This window comes from Homo sapiens, chromosome 12 (genome assembly GCF_000001405.40).
Source record: "Homo sapiens chromosome 12, GRCh38.p14 Primary Assembly".
NCBI classification, from domain to species: Eukaryota; Metazoa; Chordata; class Mammalia; order Primates; family Hominidae; genus Homo; species Homo sapiens.
Window position 1 is genome coordinate 40,495,074 of NC_000012.12, and position 19,462 is coordinate 40,514,535.

Genomic DNA, 19,462 nt, shown 5'->3' on the forward strand with positions numbered 1-19,462 from the left:
AACAAAATTATTATTTCAAGGCTACAGTATATTATTGCTTAAGGTTCTCAACTAGTAATATATTAGTATGATAGCACTTGAAAAATACATCATTTCTCAATGTGCAGGTGTCTAACAGAACCCAGAATCTAATGACTACATTGCTCATTAATAGTTTAAGGAATAGAATGCTTACCTTTTTTTTTTCTTGTGAAGATTTATGCCGCATTATTCTAACTACTGTTATAAAGTCTCCTGTGTAAATTAATTTTACCAACTGTTTGCTAGAAAATAATTAATTCAGTAATTTAATTCAAACTAAATTTGTATTGGCTCTTTATTCAATCTGTGGTTATGCAAATGTAAACAAATTGGCATGATTCATATTATATATTGAACAACATAATTATAAGTTAACAACATGGCCATGAACAGGTAGCTATTGGGACACAGTGTGTGACTATTGGGGCATAGTATGTCTTTTATCATTTTTGGCACTTTATAATCTCAAAACAGCTTTAATTAAATGTAACCAAATAATAATTACCTGTGTATAAATATTTTTCTTAGAAAAAAGGCAGTGTTTTGTTTTCAGTTTGATAATCTGTGATCATAGAAATCATACACGATTATTTAAAAGAGCACTTTACAATATGTCTCACAAGAGAACATTTACTCTGACTTAAATTTCTAAGATAAGCCTCTATAGGAATAACATCTGTTTCTTAAACAAAATTTAATTATCATGGCATTTGCCACACTGAAGCAAAATTTTTAAAGGAAATTCAAATAAATTCTTTAATTTAAGTGTGGATTTAGTTTATCCTTTAGTAAGCTCTGTTAGAATTCCACCACAACTAATTGTAGGTAAGCTGAAATTCAATGACATGAAAATTTATTTCTGCACAATGTGCTTGAAATAGAATTTCTATCTTTTCCATTTGAGCACTGAAAAACATTTAAAGGACTGTGTGTGACATGCGTCTCAAATTATAACCTAATATACAAATTAACCTTTGTAAATGGAAATAAATCAAATATTTACATTTATAAATATATTTGTTTTTAAATTTCGGTGACATCAAAAAAGCCTGAAGTAGCAGGTGAAAAAATATGAGATTATGAATGTGCATTTGAAAATATAATGTTACATTAATGGAATAGAACACATGGTACCAGAAGTCTTACTTTATCTGATTAGTAAAACATGAACTTCAAATTTGATTTTTGTAGAATAGGGCTTTTGATATTTCTATTCTCATGCCTTCTTAAATCATAATAAAGTTGTATTGAATCCTTTATATAATACTTAAATTCTACAGTGATTGTATACAAGTATACAAACTCAGACAGACCAAAATCACTACCAAAACATCCCCCTTATTAAAAAGAGGTAGCACAGTATTTCTCAGCATATTAAGAGTTATTTGTCACCTACTATTTACAAGAAAATTATTTAGCTTTTAATGTATCCTGATATCTCTTTTTTAAACTTAAAAACAGTTTTAAAAAATAAGCAAAAGTAGCTGATTCTTTTTTTTTGTTTGTTTTTGTTTTTGTTTTTTCAAGACAGGGTCTTGCTCTGTCACCCAGGCTGGAGTGCAGTGGCACAATCTTGGCTGACTGCAACCTCCACCTCCTGGGTTCAAGTGATTCTCTTGCCTCAGCCTCCTGAGTAGCTGGGATTACGGTGTGTGCCACCACACCTGGCTAATTTTTTGCATTTTTTAGTAGAGATGGGGTTTCATTATGTTGGCCAGGCTGGTCTCAAACTCCTGACCTCAGGTGATCTGCCCACCTCAGCCTCCCAAAGTGCTGGGATTACAGGCACAAGCCACCATGCCTGGCCAAGAAGCTGATTCTTTAGAACATCTCACTTTAAAAAAAAAATGATTTCTCCTTCTGATCCTTTTAGCACTTAACATTGGAATATAAGCTCCCTGAAAACAGGCATTTTTGTCTTATTTTTCACTGATTTAAAACCTCTTCATGGCCCTTATCTGATGAGGTGATTATTTCCATACTTGTCCCCCTGATCCATTAGATTCTGCCTTTGTTGAAAGGGGACCAAGCCTTATGCATCATTAATGTCTTACATGGGGAGCTTTGTGTATAACAAACACTCAATACAGCTGAAATATGTTTAGCTTTCATTCACTATCTATTTGAATAATGTAGGCATTATTTTCCCTAATTTGCTGGTAAGGAAACTGAGATTCAGAGATTTTTAACCTGTTTAAAACCACACAACTCTTTTGATTCCAACGCCTGAGCTCTTTCTACTCCTCTGCATTTCCTTTAGTCTAGACTATTGTAGGCAAGTTTCCTCTCTTCCAGTTTTCTCTATTCTCAGATGTGTTCTATCCGAAGCAGTGGTCAGTGGTCCTCTATTGACTGTTATCTCTATTCATGTCATTTCTGTCATCAGTCTATGTTAGCAGCTACCCATTGCCCTTCAAGTAAATTCTAAATGCTTTAGTGTAGTATTTGAGTCCTTGGAGACCCCATCTACTTTCCAAACTTCTCATCAGCCCCCTTCACATAACAACTTTTAGCCTCACTTGAATTAGTTGTTGGCACTGTTAGAAGTTCCTTTATAAAATTTTATAAACTGATCACTAGAAAGTTGTTTTCTCACTGAATTTGAGCTAAGTTTCCAGTTATTTTTTACTCATTCTATGTTCATATAACACATATTGCTATGTTTCCCTAAACCTTGGCTCTTACTATGTCTTCTGCCTGATGTTCCCTTCCTGGACTTCACATAGACAAATCCTAGGCAATGGTAAAGATCTAGATGCTGTCTTTTCCAGAAAGCCTTCCTTGACCCCACTAAGAAGGAGTAATGCTCAGCAGTTTCTCATTGTCTCAGGTACTCAGTATATATAAACTGTCTTTTGTAGCAGAGAGCTAAGGCATACTGAGATCAAACTAGGTGAACACAAGAGAAGATCATTTTTCATCTTTGTCAGGGAAGGCCAGGAAAGGACATCTCAAGTAGAGAACATTGTCACTCCCTATGATTTACAAATGGAATAGTTCAAGCAGAGAAACTCGTAGAATTATAGATTTGTTAAGTACCCAGAAAAGGCTACTTGTTATAGCAAAGAACACACAGATAGTGTCTAGATTCAGATCTTTTCATGGCAGAATGAGTCAGTATGGTGATCTCTGGACTTTCTGTGTTTCAGGTACCACTGGGGTAACCACTGGCACAACTCTTGCCCCTAGAAGTTTCAACATAGGTGAGAACAAGCTGAGTAGAATTTTCCCATTGGAACTTCTTTCAAGGAGCTATCTCCTCAGGTTTTATTTCTAGGCAAAATTATCATGATAATAATCCAAAATCCTTAATGTCTTCCCAATTGTGTCTTTCTTCTTTTCCTCATTCTCAGAGGCCAGAAGTTCCTAGGAGGAAGCAGAATCTCTGTAGGTGGAATAGCTCCAGCTCAGCCTGCTAAGCCATTATTGCGCTTTTTGATCATCTTTCATTAAGCAGTGTTGCCTGAAATGCAGCCACACTGCTTTATTCCATAAACTAAACCTTTAAAAAAATGCAAAGCAGTTACTAGATAACAAATGACAAGCTTGAGGAGCCTAAGACTTCCTTCTACCTTAAGGAGCTCATTCAGTGCACTAAGAAGTCAAGTCACTGGCCACTGGATATATGTGTACTGAGAAAACTTTCATTTCCAAGCACCGAATCTCAAAGACACTAAAGCGCCTAGAATGTTGTTAGGAAATTTGCTATAAGAAAGAGATGCTACATTGGAAACACAGATTAATTCTTGCCATTCGAAAGCTCAAAGAAAGAGCATCCTAATATATTGTAAGAAATACAAATTTTTGAAAAAGCAATTCCCTAGTCATGGCATGTTGACCACCATTTCTTTATTTCAGGAACTTCTGGTGGAATTTCTGGGAAAACCCTCAAACCTGGAAGTTATGTCTCAGGTAAGTCACCACATACCAGGACATCCTGGAGGGAGCCACTTAGGTAATACAGTTGACCCAGCATGCTTTTCTTTTTCTTTTCTTTTCTTTTTTTTTTCTTTTGAGATAGGGTCTCACTCTGTTGCCCAGGCTGGAGTACAGGGGCATGATCTTGGCTCACTGCAGCCTTGACCTCCTAGGCTCAGGTGATCCTGCCACCTCAGCCTCCCAGGTAGCTGGGACTACAGGCTATTTTTTGTAGAGATGGGGTTTCATTACGTTGTCCAGTCTGGTCTCAAACTCCTGGACTCAAGTGATCTGCCAGCCTTGGCTTCCCAAAGTGCTGGAATTATAGGTGTGAGTCACCACACCCAACCGTCAGCATGTTCTTACTTTTTCCCTTTCTTTTCTTTCTCAGAGGCTACAACTGCTACAGGGACTCCTGGAGCAGGACCGTCAGGAGGTGAGTGTTCTCATTCCAAGACTTTGGGTTCTGTTGATTCATTGTTTGGGATTGCAGCTTAAAACAGAAGAATACGAAGGTTGAGGACACATTTTACACAAGGCCAAGTCAAATTGTGAATCCCTCTGGAACTGCCATTTTCATGACCCTCCAACAAGTGTGCCTGAGTCCTGGCTTTCAGAACTAGTTCTCTGAAGTCAGGAATGAGACCGTCATTGCTTTAAAGTTCACAGAATTTTTTTTCACAGGCACCACTATCAGTTCTCCTGAAGTCAGTACCATTTCAGAAGTTTCCAACACAGGTAAAATTCCATAAAGAAAATGTAAGCTGGCTCTTACTCCTATGTGAGTTTTGTGCATGTGTATGTGTGTGCATGGGAATGGTTTAAGGATGACATGAAATCAACCACAAAAGTATCACAGAGACATTTCTAAAGAACTTTATATTTCATTTTTCTCCCTCTGTAGTCATCCCTGGTACACCAGGGAGACATAACAGGAATTGAAACAGGCAGGCATGAAATGAGCCTCCATCCCTCTGTCAGCAGGCTAGAATGTAGGGGTGTTCACTGGCAAGTCGCCTGCGAATAAATGAGCCAAGGAAATGAAATGAGAGAAGGACACTCCTAATTTAGCATTTGCACCATTTATAACATTAAGTCCTGAGAAAGGCCCTTTTAGTTGCTTCCATGATGAATTTGCTAAATTTGCTTTTTCTTGTTTTAGGTATCACTGGAGTAGGCTCTGAGACATCTATTGAAACAGGAATTTCCAACACAGGTAAAGTTGAAAGAAAACCGTCTCTATGGACACACAGATGAAATGATGTTTTTTTGTAGAGTTGTTCTGATGAATAACACAAAATCTGTCTTCTCACTAGTGCAACTCCCCAGAATTTACAATTCCATATCCTGTCTCAAAGGCTACAATTTCTGCAGAACACGTTGGCACCACTGAAGCTTCATTCACAATAGGGGAGAAGGAGCAACTCATGTCTTTGTTGTTTTCAGATTTTGACACTCATAGCGAGACTAGAGAGAGGAGGATTCTGGAGAGCAGTTTGTATTTACTTTACTAATACTACATTTTTGGCCAACAAATTCTTTATCAGTTTAGACATTTTTCCAGAAAAGCTACTAATTACAGATTGCAGAATCATACTTCTAATCCTGGAAGACAGGATGATTATACTGATTGTTCTAAGTAACTTCTGCTGTGAAATTACAAACATTAGAAGCTTTTAAAACAGGAGGGGGTGATAAAACTTGCTGAGAAACACAGAGGAGCTACAAGAACCCAGGAAACACACCTGCCCTGTGTCAATGCTTCCTTTTCACAAATGAAGAGCTAAATATTTTCACAATGTCTGGAGTTCTCAGCACACTCATGGCATTCTCAGCAACCACCCCACAGCAGGCACCACTCTTGCATCTGACAGCCAAGACACAGGGAGGAGAACAGGTGAGCATGGGAGAAACCCACATTGTCCTCCTGACAGGAAGATTATCACAGGTTGAGAACATTGTCACTTTGGTTGCTTTGGTAATCAAACGGTTAATGAGAAAATACATAGGGCTCATCATCAGGGAAGAGCTAGGGAAAATGCTAGTTAGATATAAGTTAGATTTAGATTCTTTCTAGAGGCAGGTCCATAGGAAAGAAAGATTAATCACCATGGTGATCCCAGTCCTCTTGGTGTTTCAGCTACGACTGGGGTGGCTCCTGGCACAACCCTTGCCCCTGGCAGTTCCAGTACAGGTGAGTCTGCAGGTTGGCAGGGAAGTCTTCAGAGCTCCTCCCATAATTTGATATCTTCTCTGGTGCTTGTCTTTTTAAGAGTAATATCTTATTCATTTCATAGTGATTGAATATTTTTCAAATATGTCTTTTCTGTTTTTCTGTCTCTCAGAGGCCACAACTTCCATAGGAGGAAGTGCATCAACAAGAGGAGGAATAGCCACAGGTGAGCATTGCTGGGTCATTGCACTCATTTGCCAATAATATCCAATAAAGACTGTGGTGCGAAATGAATCCATGTGACTGGATTCTCCCATATTGAGTACTGATCGAGAACATATTACCGTTGTTCATTGATGAAAGATCGGAAACTCAAATTTCATTCTTATTTCCTGTGCTGTAAGCAGATTCTCCTTCCACACCCAAGGCAGTCGTACAGTCATTTGATTGACAGTTATATAAATGATCTAGAGATAGCCCCCATTTCCCTGTTCCAGAACACTAGAAAAAAAAAAAAGTATCGATAAGTGAAAATGTCTTTGGTAGATATACTGTGGGAAGGATATTATATGAGAAATATACAGATGTCATTTTAGCATTTAAAACCCAGTTTACTGACATATTGAATAAGTATATAGATTTTATCAATTTATTTGCTTGTTGCCCATTACCCACTTTCTTAAGACCACTGGGGCATTCTCTAGAAAGACTCTGGAACTTGGGAATGACAAGACAGGCTATTCCAAAAGCACACAGGGAATACTACACCTTGGCTGCTCAGGTGACAGGCTCCTAGGGCTACGTAACCCTGTATGTATTCATACTGCAGTCTTTATTCTTGTTTTCTTTTCTCTCAGAAGCCACAGGTTCCACAAGAGGGGTCAGGACCACTGGATCAGAAGCTCCAGAAGGTAAGCTTCATCAGTCCCCAGGCTTCAGAGTTCTCATCTTTGCCCTGTTGTGGGATACTGAGGTAAACACATAAATGAGAATGAGGGCCAAGGAAAGACAGTTACTTTTTATCTGGAAGCACAACATGTATTCTGATCTTCTGAGTTATTCTGCTAAAGAATTTCAGAAACTGGGTGTATTAGTTTGTTCTCACGTTGCTTTAAGGAACTACCTGAGACTAGGTAGTTTATAAAGCAAACGAGTTTAATGATGGACAGTTCTGCAGGCTGTATGGAGGCATGGCTGGGAAGGCCTCAGGAAACTTACAATCATGGTGGAAGGTGAAGGGGAAGCAAGTACATCTTTACTTGGTGACAGTAGAGAAAGACAGAGTGAAAGAGGAAGTGCTACACACTTTTAAAGAAGCAGTTCTCGTGAGAACTCACTATCACAAGAACAGCAAAGGGGAAATCCAGCCTCTATGATCCAATCAGCTCCAAACAGGTTCCTCCCCCAACACTGGGGATTATAATTCAACATGAGATATGAGTGGGGACTGAGAGTCAAACCTTATCACTCGGTTATCTAAGTCAGGCATTGCTCCATTTCCTGTGTGACAATTTTAGTACTCTGGACACCTGGCTGAGGCCCACTGACTTGCAGCAGCCTCTGCAGAACCCCCAATTCTTCCATTCTGCTCCTCATGATTCCACAAAGTACTATAACCTGCTGACATCTATTGAACATATTTATTATACTTGTTTATTTTCTGTGATCCCTCTCCCACAAATGGAAACCTCACAAAGCAGAGACCGTTGTCTGTTCTTTTCACTGAGAAGAGAATGTCAGGTACAAAGGATTGCTTACGGAATATAAGATGAGTAACAAGTATGTACTTATTTTGAGTGTCACTCTGTTTACTTCGACAACTACCACCACGGTTTCACCTGGTGCCAGCAGCGGTTCACAGGGTCCCAAGCCAGGTAGGATGAACTACTTAAAATCACCAGTGGGAGGTATAAATATCTCATAGAAGTATATTATTATACATCTGATTATCACAATATTATCAGTTACACAAACGAGAACATTTAGAATGTTCAAGACATTTTTCCTCCTCCAGGAACACCAGGAAACTACATCACTGAAAGTGAAGTTAGTAAAGTGAATTTAAGCATCTTTCCTTTTTTAACTGAATTTAAGCTATTACTGTCTTTGAATAGGCTGCAGGGGAAAGGATAATCCATAGCAAATCATCTGTCAATAGTTGGGGGAAAGTTATTCATTGTTAATTTCCTTTGGAAACCAGAGTTCTTAGGAAAGGTCTTCTAGTGGTTCAGGAACACATTGATGATTCCAGTATTATTTGTCCTATTAGCTCCTTTATTTTTCTCATTTTAGGTACTTCTGGAGAATTCTCTGGGACAACCATTTCATCTGGAGGCTTCCACACAGGTAGTTGAATGAGAACGAGTTCCTCATCTGGAATGCATGATAACTTTGCAGAGCTGCAATAATAAACTAGCACTGTGATACTTTTCCCCAGTATCTCAGATTCCCCAGACCTCTTTATTCTCCTCTTTTCTCAGAAGCCACAACTCTCACAGGAGGTAGGGGCAGTATTGGAACTGAATCCAGAGCAGGTGAGGTGGAGCAGCTCATGATTTGGGATTTACCGTGAATCATGACTCTCATTAGCATGACTTGTTTGGAAGCGGGCTTTCCTACAGAATATTTTGCATTTATTTCTGGACAATGCATCTTAGAACAAATAGTTCTGCCTTTAAATTAAATATTTTCCCCAAAATTTACCAATATCATCTTAGAAGTGAGATGGCTCTTGTAATTGTTCTGAGAAATTTCTCCTGTAATGTTATATATAAGTATGGCTAGGATATTAGTAGGAGCAAAAAACATTTGTGATCCAGGGAAGGAGAGATAATGTAAATGAATCCTAGAAATACGTGTATAGAGGTTTCCATGCCCTAAAACCAATACAATTATTAGTGCTTTCTTGATGTCTCAAATTGCCAGCAAACTTAATTTTTTATGTTTCATCCCTGGCAGTAAATTGGTGAGTATGGAAAATTGTGTGTCTCCCTCTCATGGAATGTATATTGCTTCAAGCTGAGGAAGTGGCCCCTCTGATTGCATTGAGAATTAAATGGTTTTACAGGTTGACAGGGAACTCTTCAGAGCTCCTCTCATAATTAGATATTTCTTTTGGTGTTATTGTTTATGAGAGTAATGTCATATCTGTTTCATGGCCTTTGAATATTTTCCAAATATGTTTTTTCTGTTTTTCTGTCTCTCAGAGTCCACAACTTCCCTACCACAAAGTGCAAAAACAAGAGGTGGAATACTGACAGGTGAGCATTGCTGGGTCATTGCACTCACCTGGTAATAATATTCAATAAAGCCTGTGGTTTGAAAAGTATCCATACTCTCATTTCTCCCATATTAACATTGTTAGGAAAGTTCCTACCATTTTTCACTGACTAAATATAGAATCTCAAATTTCATTCTTATTTTTTGTGGTTGAACAGACTCTTCTATTGCCCCCCAAGGAAAACATGCAGCCATTTGACTGACAGTTACATAGAAAATCTAGAGTTAGCTTCTATTTTCCTATTCATGAAATATTGAGAAAAGGAAGCCTAATAAGTTAAAAAAAATTGGGCAAATATACCATGGGAAGAATATTATTTGAGAAGTGTAGAGATTAGCTTTTGACATTTAAAGGCCAATTTATTGAAATAATAAATAAGTATACAGCCTGTGTCTATTTATTTGCTTAATACTCATTTCCCACTTCATGGTAATGAGGTAATGACCCACCACTGCCCCATCCCTTTCTTAATAGCTACCAGTGGGGCATTCTCTGGGAAGACTCTGGAACCTGGGATTGACAACACAGGCAAGTCAAAAAGCACACAGAGAATGCTACACCATGGCTGCTCAGATGGCAGTCTCCTAGGGCAACGTAACCCTGTACTCCCCATACTGCAGACTTCATGCTTGCTTTCTTTTCTCTCAGAGGCCACAAGTTCCACAGGAAGGATCAGGGCGACCGGATCAGAAGCTCCAGGAGGTAAGGTTCACCAGTCCCAGACCTCAGGGTTCTCCTCATTTCCCTGTTATGCTGAGGTGAACACATAAGTGAGAATGGGGGCAAAGGAAAGGGGGTTACTTCTTGCCTGGAAGCACAACATGTATTCTGACCATCCTGAGTATTCCTGCTAAAGAATTTGAGACACTGGGTTATGTATGTCAGGCATTGCTCCATGGCCTGTGTGACAGTGTTAGTTGTCTGGACACCTGGTTGAGGCCCACTGACCTGCAGCAGTCTTCTTGGAACCCTGATTGTCCCCACTTGCTCATGATGATTCTGCAAAGTACTATCACCTGCTGCCATCTCTCAAACGTATTTATTACACTTCCTGTTTACTTCCTGTGTTTCCTCTCCCACAAATGTAAATCACATGAGGCAGAGACCTTTCTCTCTTCTTCTCACTGTCAGATACAGTGAAAATTCTTCTAGAATATGAGATGAGTGACAGGCATATTCTTATGTAGAAGTTGCCCTTGGTGTCAGCAACAGCTCACAGAATCCCATGCCAGTTGGCATAGGCTACATAAAGACACTAAAGGAAGCTATAAACATCCATGTATTTATTCTTAAAAACATGATAATCACAGTATTACCTGTTCCACAAAGGAAAACACTTAGAATGTTCAAGACTTTTTCTTGCTCCTGGATCACTAGAGACCCAAGTCACTGGACATGAAATCTGTAAAGTCAGATTAAACATCCTTCTTTCTAAATAGGCTGTGATGGAAGAAGTAGTTAGTAGCAAAACAATAGTGGATACATTGCAGGGAACCATTATGGTTCATTTCCCTCCAAAACAGATTATGAGGAAAGATATTCCAGTGGATCAAGACAGCATTGCTGTTTCCAGTGTTGTTTGTCCTATTAGCTGCTTTACTTTCTCATTGTAGGTACCTCTGGTGAATTCCCAGGGACAACATTTACATCTGGAGGTTCCCACACAGGTAGTTGAATGGGAAGGAAATCCTCATCTTGAATGCATGATGACTTTGTAGCGCTGCAGTCAAGAAATAGTGACTCAGTGTTTTTTGCCAGTGTCTCCCAGACCTCTTGATCCTATTCTTTCTTTTCTCAGAGGCCACAACTTTCACAGGAGACAAGGGCAGTACTGGAACTGAATCCAGAGCAGGTGAGGATGAGCAGCCCGTAATTCACATGTTACCATGAATCTTGACTCTCATTAGGATGACTTTTTTGGGAGTGGACTTTTCTGCAGAATATTATGCATTTATTTAGGGATAATGAATCTTGGGCCCAGGAGAACTTCCTTTAGATTTTATATTTTCTAAAACTTTACCAATAGCCTCTTTCAAAGTGGGATATCTATTGCATTTGTTTTGAGAAGTTTCTCCTGTGAGGGTACATAGAAACGTTGCCAGGGTGTTACTGGGAACTATGAACAGTTTTGTTGTAGGGAAGAAGAGATAACTTAAATGAACCTTAGAAACATTCCTAAAGAGTGGTTTTCATGCCTTAGAAGCAAGAGAAATGTTTGGTATATTCTTGATTTGTAAGAGTCTCAGGAAAATTGTTTGTCTCCCATATTCCAGGGAGTAAAATGGTGAACATGGGGACCACCACCTGTTTCCTGATGGAAGACCAGAAATATTGCCTCAACTTAAGGAATTGGACCTCCTGATTGTTTTGCTAGTAAAATGGATATGCAGAAAATATACAGGGCATGACATCAGGAAGGATCATGGAAAGCACCATTTATAAATAATTCAGATAGGCCTAGATAGTTTTTAGAGGCAGGCCTAGAGGAAAGGGAAAAGTTGATCACCATGGTGATCCCACTCTTCTTTGTGTTTCAGCCACCACTAGGGCAACTCCTGGCACAACTCTTGTCCCTGGCAGTTCCAATACAGGTGAGTCTGCAGGTTGCCAGGGAACCTTCAGAGCTCCTCCCATATTTCAATGTGCGATGTCTCCTCTGCTGCTGTTCTTTCCAGAGGTTGTATCATGTTCTTTTCATGGTCCTTGAGTATTTCCTAATATACCTTCCTTGTTTTTCTGTCTCTCAGGGGCCACAGCTTCCCCAGGTGGAAGTGCAATGACAAGAGGTAGAATAACCACCGGTGAGCATTGCTGGGTCATTGGACTCACTTTTTAATAATATCCAATAAACCTTATTGCTTTAAATGTATTCATGTCACACATTTCTTCACCACTGAGCATTGTTAGGTAAAATCTTACCTTCATTCATTAATTATATCAGGTAGCTGCAAAAGTAATTGCGGTTTTGCTATTGCAGATCATAACAAATTGGCAACTCAGAAATAGCAAATCAGTGATAGCAAATCAGAAACTGAAAATTAATTTCTTTCTATACTTTAAGCAAACACTTCCTTTAGTCTTCAGGTAATCATGTAGCCATTGGACAGTTAAATAGAGAATCTAGAGTGATAGCTGCTAGGACCCTATTCCTGAACCCTAGAGAAATGGAGACCCAATAAGTAAAAATTCCTTTGGTACTATACCATGAGAAGGGTATTATATGAGGAGTATATGGATGACCTTTTGGGATTTAAAGCCCAGTTTCCTGAAATATTGAAAAAGTATACAGATTTATCCATTTATGAGGTTGTTATTCTCTGCCTACTTGATGATGATGAGGTACTGACCCATGACTACCCATCTCTTTCTTAATAGCTACCACTGGGGCTTTCTCTGGAAAGACTCTCGAATCTGAGAATGACAACACAGGCAAGTCCACAGCCACACAGGGAATGCTATGCCATGACTGCTCGGGTGACAGGCTCCTAGGGTTACATAACCCTGCACTCTCCATACTGTAGATGTCATCCTTGTTTTCTTTTCTCTCAGAGGCCACAAGTTCCACCAGAGGGGTCAGGACCACCAGGTCAGAAGCACCAGGAGGTAAGCTTCGTCAATCCAAGGCTTCAGAGTTCTCATCATTGTCATTTTGTGCTCAGGGTAACACATAAATGAGAAACGGGGCCAAGGAAAGGGGGTTACTTCTTGTCTGGAAGGACAACATGTACTGTGGCCATCCTGAGTAGTTCTGCTAAGGAATTTCAGAAACTGGGCCATCTAAGTCAGGCATTGCGCCATGGCCTGGGTGACAATGTTAGTTCTCTAGACACCTGTCTGTGGCCCACTGAGCTACAGCAGCCTTCCTGGAACACTGATTCTCCCCGTTCTGCTCATCATGATTCTGCAAAGTACAATCACCTGCTACTATCTCACTAACATGTTTTTTACACTTCTTGTTTATTTCCTCTGTTCTTTCTCCCACAAATGTAAATCACATGTGGCAGAGACCCTTGTCTCTTCTTCTCATTGACAGAAGACTGTCAGACACAGTGGAAATGCTTCCAGAATATGAGAGGAGTGACAGGCATATTCTTATGTAGAATGTCACTCTGTTTACTTCAATGGCTACCACCCTCATTTCCCTTCGTGTCAGCAGCAGTTCACAGGATCCCATGCCAGCTGGCACAGGCTACAGAAAAACACTAAATGAATCTATAAACATCTCCTATGTGTTTATTCTTAAAAACATGATAATTACAATATTACCTTTTCCACAAAGGAGAACACTTAGAATGTTCAAGACTTTTTCTTGCTCCTGGATCACTAGAGAGCCAAGTCACTGGATGTGAAACCTAAAAAGTGAGATTAAACTTCCCTCTTTTTAAATAGACCGTGATAGAAAAAATAGCCAGCAGCAAAACAATAGTGTATACATTGTAGGGAAAACCATTCACGATTCATTTCCTTCAGAAACAGAGATTATGAGGAAAGGTCTTCCAGTGTATCAAGGCAGTATTGCTGTTTCCAGTGTTGTTTGTCCTATTAGCTGCTTTACTTTCTCATTGTAGGTACTTCTGGTGAATTCCCTGGGACAAGAATTACATCTGGAGGTTCCTACACAGGTAGTTGAATGGGAAGGAAATCCTCATTTTGAATGCATGATGACTTTGTAGAGCTGCAATCATAAAATAGCAACTTAATGCTTTTTGCCAGTGTCTCCCAGACCTCTTGATCCTATTCTTTCTTTTCTCAGCGGCCGCAACTTTAACAGGAGGCAAGGGCAGTACTGGAACTGAATCCAGAGCAGGTGAGGATGAGCAGCCCATAATTCACGTGTTACTGTGAAGCTTGACTCTCATTAGGATGACTTGTTTGGAAGTGGACTTTTCTGCAGAATATTATGCATTCATTTAGGGATAATGAATCTTAGGCCCAGTAGAACTTCCTTTAGATTTTATATTTTCTAAAACTTTACCAGTAGCCTCTTTTAAATTGGGGTATCTATTGCATTTGTTCTGAGAAGTTTCTCCTGTGAGGTTACATAGAAACGTTGCCAGGGTGTTACTGGGAACTATGAACAGTTTTGATCTAGGGAAGAAGAGATAACTTAAATGAACCTTAGAAACATACATAAATAATGGTTTTCATGCCTCAGAAACAACAGAAATGTTTAGTATATTCTTGACGCATAAGAGTCCCAGGGAAATTGTTTTGGTCTTCCATATTCCGGGGCATAAAATAGTAAATAAGGGGAACACTACCTGTCTCCTGATGAAGACCAGACATATGGTCTCAAGTTAAGGATTCGGACCTCTTGATTGTTTTGCTAGTAAAATGGACAAGGAGAAAATATACAGGGCACCATATCAGGAAGAATCAGTGAAAGCACCATTCATAAATAATTCAGATAAGTCTGGGTAGTTTTTAGAGGCAGGCCTATAGGAAAGGGAAAGGTTGATCACCATGGTGATCCCACTCTTCTTTGTGTTTCAGCCACCACCAGGGCAGCTCCTGGCACAACTCTTGCCCCTGGCAGTTCCAACACGGGTGAGTCTGCGGGTTGCCAGGGAACCTTCAGAGCTCCTCCCATATTTCGATGTTCGATGTCTCCTCTGCTGCTGTTCTTTCAAGAAGTTGTATCGTCTTCTTTTCATGGTCCTTGAATATTTCCTAATATGCCTTCCCTGTTTTTCTGTCTCTCAGGGGCCACAGCTTCCCTAGGTGGAAGTGCAATGACAAGAGGTAGAATAACCACCGGTGAGCATTGCTCGGTCGTTGCACTCACTCTTTAATAATATCCATGAAAGGTTATTGCTTGAAATGTATGCATGTCACATATTTTTTCACATGGAACATTGTTAGGTAAGATCTTACCTTCATTTATTAAGTATATCAAGTTTGTGCAAAAGTAACTGCAGGTTTGCTATTGAAATTAATAGCAAATCAGACACACAGAAATAGCAACTCAGTGATAGCAAATCAGAAACTCAAAATTTAATATATTTCTGTACTTTAAGCAGACCCTCCCACTAGTCCCCAAGGTAATCATGCAGCCATTGGACAGTTACATAGAGAATCTAGAGTGATAGCTGCTAGAAGCCTCTTCCAGAACTCTAGCTAAATGGAGACCCAATAAGTTAAATTCTTTTGGTACTATACTGTGGGAAGGATATTACATGAGGAATATATAGTTGACCTTTTGGGATTTAAAGCCCAGTTTCCTGAGATATTGAATAAGTATACAGATTTATCCATTTATGAGGTTGTTATTCTCTGTCCACTTGATGATGATGAGGTACTTACCCATTATTACCCATCTGTTTCTTAATAGCTACCACTGGGGCTTTCTCTGGAAAGACTCTGGAACCTGGGAACAACAACACAGGCAAGTCCACAAGCACACAGGGAATGCAACACCATGGCTGCTCGGGCGACAGGCTCCTAGGGTTACATAACCCTGTAATTCCCATACTGTAGATGTCATCCTTGCTTTCTTTTCTCTCAGAGGCCACAAGTTCCACCAGAGGGGTCAGGACCACCAGATCAGAAGCTCCAGGAGGTAAGCTTCATCAGTCCCAGGCTTCAGAGTTCTCATCGTCGTTTTGTGCTCAGGATAACACATAAATGAGAAACGGGGCCAAGGAAAGGGGGTTACTTCTTGTCTGGAAGGACAACATGTATTCTGGCCAATCTGAGTAGTTCTGCTAAGGAGTTTCAGACACAGGGTTATCTAAGTTAGGTGTTGCCCCATGGCCCGTGTGACAGTGTTAGTTCTCTGGACACCTGTCTGAGGCCCACTGACCTGCAGCAGCATCCCCAGAACCCTGATTCTCCCCACTCAGGTCATCATGACTCTGCATAGCACTATCACCTACTGCCATCTCTCGAGCATATTTATTTTACTTCTTGTTTATTTCGTGTTTTCTCTCTCCCATAAATGTAGATCACATGAGACAGAGACCTCTGTCTATTCTTGTCTCTGAGAAGTGGATGTCAGGCACACAGGAAATGCTTCCATAATGTGAGATGGGTGACTGGTATATTCTTATGCAGAGTGTCACTATGTTTAATTTAGCAGCTACCACCACAGTTTCATTTGGTGTCAGCAGCAGTTCGCAGGGTCCCAAGCAAGGTAGGATGAACTACTTAAAGTCAGCAGAGGAAGGTATAAATATCTCATAGGAGGGCATTGCTCAGCATATGATAAGCACAATATCGCCGGTTATTGATATGAGAACATTTAGAATGTTCAAGTCTTTTTCTCCTTCCTGGGAGCACAAGAAAAGCACAACATTTGAAGTGAAATCAAGAAAGTGAAGTTAAGCTTCCTTTTTCAGTAGAGTACAGGGGAAGGGATAGTCAGTATAAAAACATTAGTAAGTTGGCAAAAATTATTCATGGTTCATATTTTCTGAAACAAGTTTTCAAGAAAGGTCTTCCAGTGGTTCAGGACCACGTTGCTGATTCCAGTACTGCTTGCTCTATTAGTTCCTTTAGTTTCTCATTTTAGGGACTTCTGGTAAATTCTGTGGGACAACCATTTCACTGGGAGGTTCTAGCACAGGTAGTTCACTAAGAAGGTCATCGTCATCTTGCATGGGTGATAACTTTATAGAAATTCAGTGATAAAATAGCAACTCAGTACTTTTTACCAGCATCTTAAATTTCCTAGACCTCTTGATTCTTCTCTTTCTTTCCTCAGAGGCCACAACTCTCACAGGAGACAGGAGCAGTACCGGAAGTGAATCCAGAACAGGTGAGGATGGCAGCTTATGATTGGGGAGTTACCAAGAACCATGACTTTCGGGATAACTTGCTTGGAAGTAGGCTTTCCTACAGAATATTAAGTAATTTATTTAGGGACAATCTGTCTGAGGCCAAATATATTTTTTAATTTAATATTTTCCTTAACCTTTTAATATACACTTTTCAAATGGGTTGACTCTTCTAGTTGGGGTGTAAATGAAATGTAATTGTTCTGAGAAATTTCCCCATAACATTACATTGAAACATTTTCAACGTAGTAGTAGGAACTAAAAGCAGTTTTAACCCTGGGAAGTAGAGATATATGAATCTTGGAATCATGCCTACATAGATTTTTTTTTTGCCCTAAAGTAATAGAAATAATTAGTAGTAAGTCAATGGGTACAAAATCACAATTAGATAGCAGGCATTAGTTCCGGTGGTTTATAGTGCAGTGGAGTGCCTATAGTAAGCAATATTATAGTATATATTTGAAAATACCTTGAAGAGATATGTGTCAGTCCATTTTCATGCTGCTGATAAAGACATACCCAAGACTGCATAGTTTATAAAGAAAAAGAGATTTAATGGACTCACAGTTCCACAAGGCTATGGAGGCCTCACAATCATGGTGGAAGGCGAAAGGCATGTCTTACATGGCAACAGGCAAGAGAGAGCTTGTGCAGGGGAACTCCCCTTTATAAAACCATCAGATCTTGTGAGACTTATTCACTGTCATAAAAACAGCAGGGGAAAGACCCACTCCCATGGTTCAACTATCTCCCACCGGGTCCCTCCCATGACACATGTGAATTGTGGGAGCTACATTTCAAGATGAGATTTGGGTGGGGACACAGCCAAACCATATCAAGAGGATTCTAAATTTTCTTACCACAAAGCTATGATAAATGTCAGAGATTATGGTTATGCTAAAGACCATGACTTGACTATTACAATGTGTATACATCTATATCAAAACCTCACGCTGGAAATATGTAAAATTATGTGTCGATTAAAAATGTAATTAGAAATAGATACAATTATTATAAAGCAAATATTTTTTGTCTTCTACTCCTAGCGGTGAAATAGGTAAATATGGGAGAAAACTATCTGTCTCACTGTCGTGGGATGCTAGATATAATGCCCCAACTTGGTAGTTTATTAATGAATGGGAAAACACATCCGAGTGGCAGCCAGAGAAAGTGGCCTTTGACATCCAGTTACTACTGGCCTTTGATGTAAACAGATTCCTTCTAGAGGCAGGTCTTCAGGACACAAGCGGGAGTCACTGTGGTGATGCCAGTTCCTCTTGTGTTTCAGCCACCACTGGAGTAGCTCCTGGCACAACTGTTGCCCCTGGCAGTTCCAAGACAGGTAAGTCAACAGGTTGACATGGAATCTTCCACGTGCCCTCCCATAATTAGATATCTCCTTTGTATTATTTTTTGCAGGAGTAGCACCATATCTTCTCCACAATCCTTAAATATTCTCCAGGTAACACTTATCTCTTTGTTTCCCTTAGAGGCCACCACTTTCCTAGGAGTAAGTGGAACAACAAACATTGGAAGAGCCACGGGTGAGTGCTGCTAGACTAAGACCTTTAATTCCTAATGAAACCTTCAATAGTCTTCTGAAAATATCTACATGATTCGCATATGCTATATTGTGAAAATACAGAGAAAAAGACTAGACAGTCATTATATTGCCTCCTTATTTCCTGAGCTTAGAAGGGCTTTCATTAAAGCATCGAAATGTAAAACCATGACAGATAAATAGGTAATATGGGGAGAAAATTCCAATTTCCCTGCCAAAAAGAAGGACATTATAGTTGAGAACTGTCTCAGTAAAATTGCTGTGGAAAGAAATGTTGCATGGGACAAGTACGAATTACTTCTAGCACTGCAAGTGTCAGAGTAACAATTTGCTTCTAAGTGGGGATTTGAGATCCCTATTCAAATCAGTGGACAAACAGTTGAACTAGTGACTCCATCTCTTTGTTATTGTAAGTATTACTAGTGTAGTCTCTGGAAAAACACTGAAACCTGGAAGTTACAACACAAGCCAGTCTGAAAATACATGCAAAATCTGGACATGGGCACCGTGGTTGACATACTCTGCCCACAGCACTGTGTATAGTCTCCCAAACCTTAATCTTTACCCCTTCTTTCTTTTCTTTCTCAGGTGCCACAACTTCCATAGTAGGGAGTGACACCAGCCAAGCAGAACGTCCAGGAGGTGAGCTTTTTACTCTAAGACCTTGGTGCTTTTATCAAATCCCTGTTCTCTGCAGTGAAAACATGGGTGTGAAAGTGGGTAGAGGAAAGGAG

At 39.8% G+C, this 19,462-nt stretch overlaps 1 protein-coding gene across 1 annotated transcript in view, besides 1 other annotated feature; it reads left to right on the plus strand.

Moving 5' to 3' along the window:
* Positions 1-19,462, plus strand: part of MUC19 (mucin 19, oligomeric (gene/pseudogene)) — a gene marked incomplete in the record, with an annotated part of 177,364 nt that overhangs the window by 101,680 nt on the left and 56,222 nt on the right. Inside the window, 26 exon segments of the mRNA NM_173600.2 lie at positions 3,171-3,224; positions 3,880-3,933; positions 4,331-4,375; positions 4,624-4,677; positions 5,102-5,155; positions 6,080-6,133; positions 6,285-6,338; positions 6,970-7,023; positions 8,405-8,458; positions 8,593-8,646; positions 9,319-9,371; positions 11,002-11,059; positions 11,191-11,244; positions 11,930-11,983; positions 12,140-12,193; positions 12,768-12,821; positions 12,942-12,995; positions 13,961-14,014; positions 14,886-14,939; positions 15,096-15,149; positions 15,724-15,777; positions 15,898-15,951; positions 17,095-17,148; positions 18,456-18,509; positions 18,658-18,711; positions 19,317-19,370. Of these exon segments, the coding sequence (NP_775871.2) occupies positions 3,171-3,224; positions 3,880-3,933; positions 4,331-4,375; positions 4,624-4,677; positions 5,102-5,155; positions 6,080-6,133; positions 6,285-6,338; positions 6,970-7,023; positions 8,405-8,458; positions 8,593-8,646; positions 9,319-9,371; positions 11,002-11,059; positions 11,191-11,244; positions 11,930-11,983; positions 12,140-12,193; positions 12,768-12,821; positions 12,942-12,995; positions 13,961-14,014; positions 14,886-14,939; positions 15,096-15,149; positions 15,724-15,777; positions 15,898-15,951; positions 17,095-17,148; positions 18,456-18,509; positions 18,658-18,711; positions 19,317-19,370 (1,398 nt within the window).
* Positions 7,341-7,541: a silencer, noted in NCBI's record as "peak1679 fragment used in MPRA reporter construct". NCBI's record gives its function as "represses an SCP1 promoter by STARR-seq MPRAs in K562 erythroleukemia cells {active_cell/tissue: K562}" and the evidence as "EXISTENCE:reporter gene assay evidence [ECO:0000049][PMID:32103011]".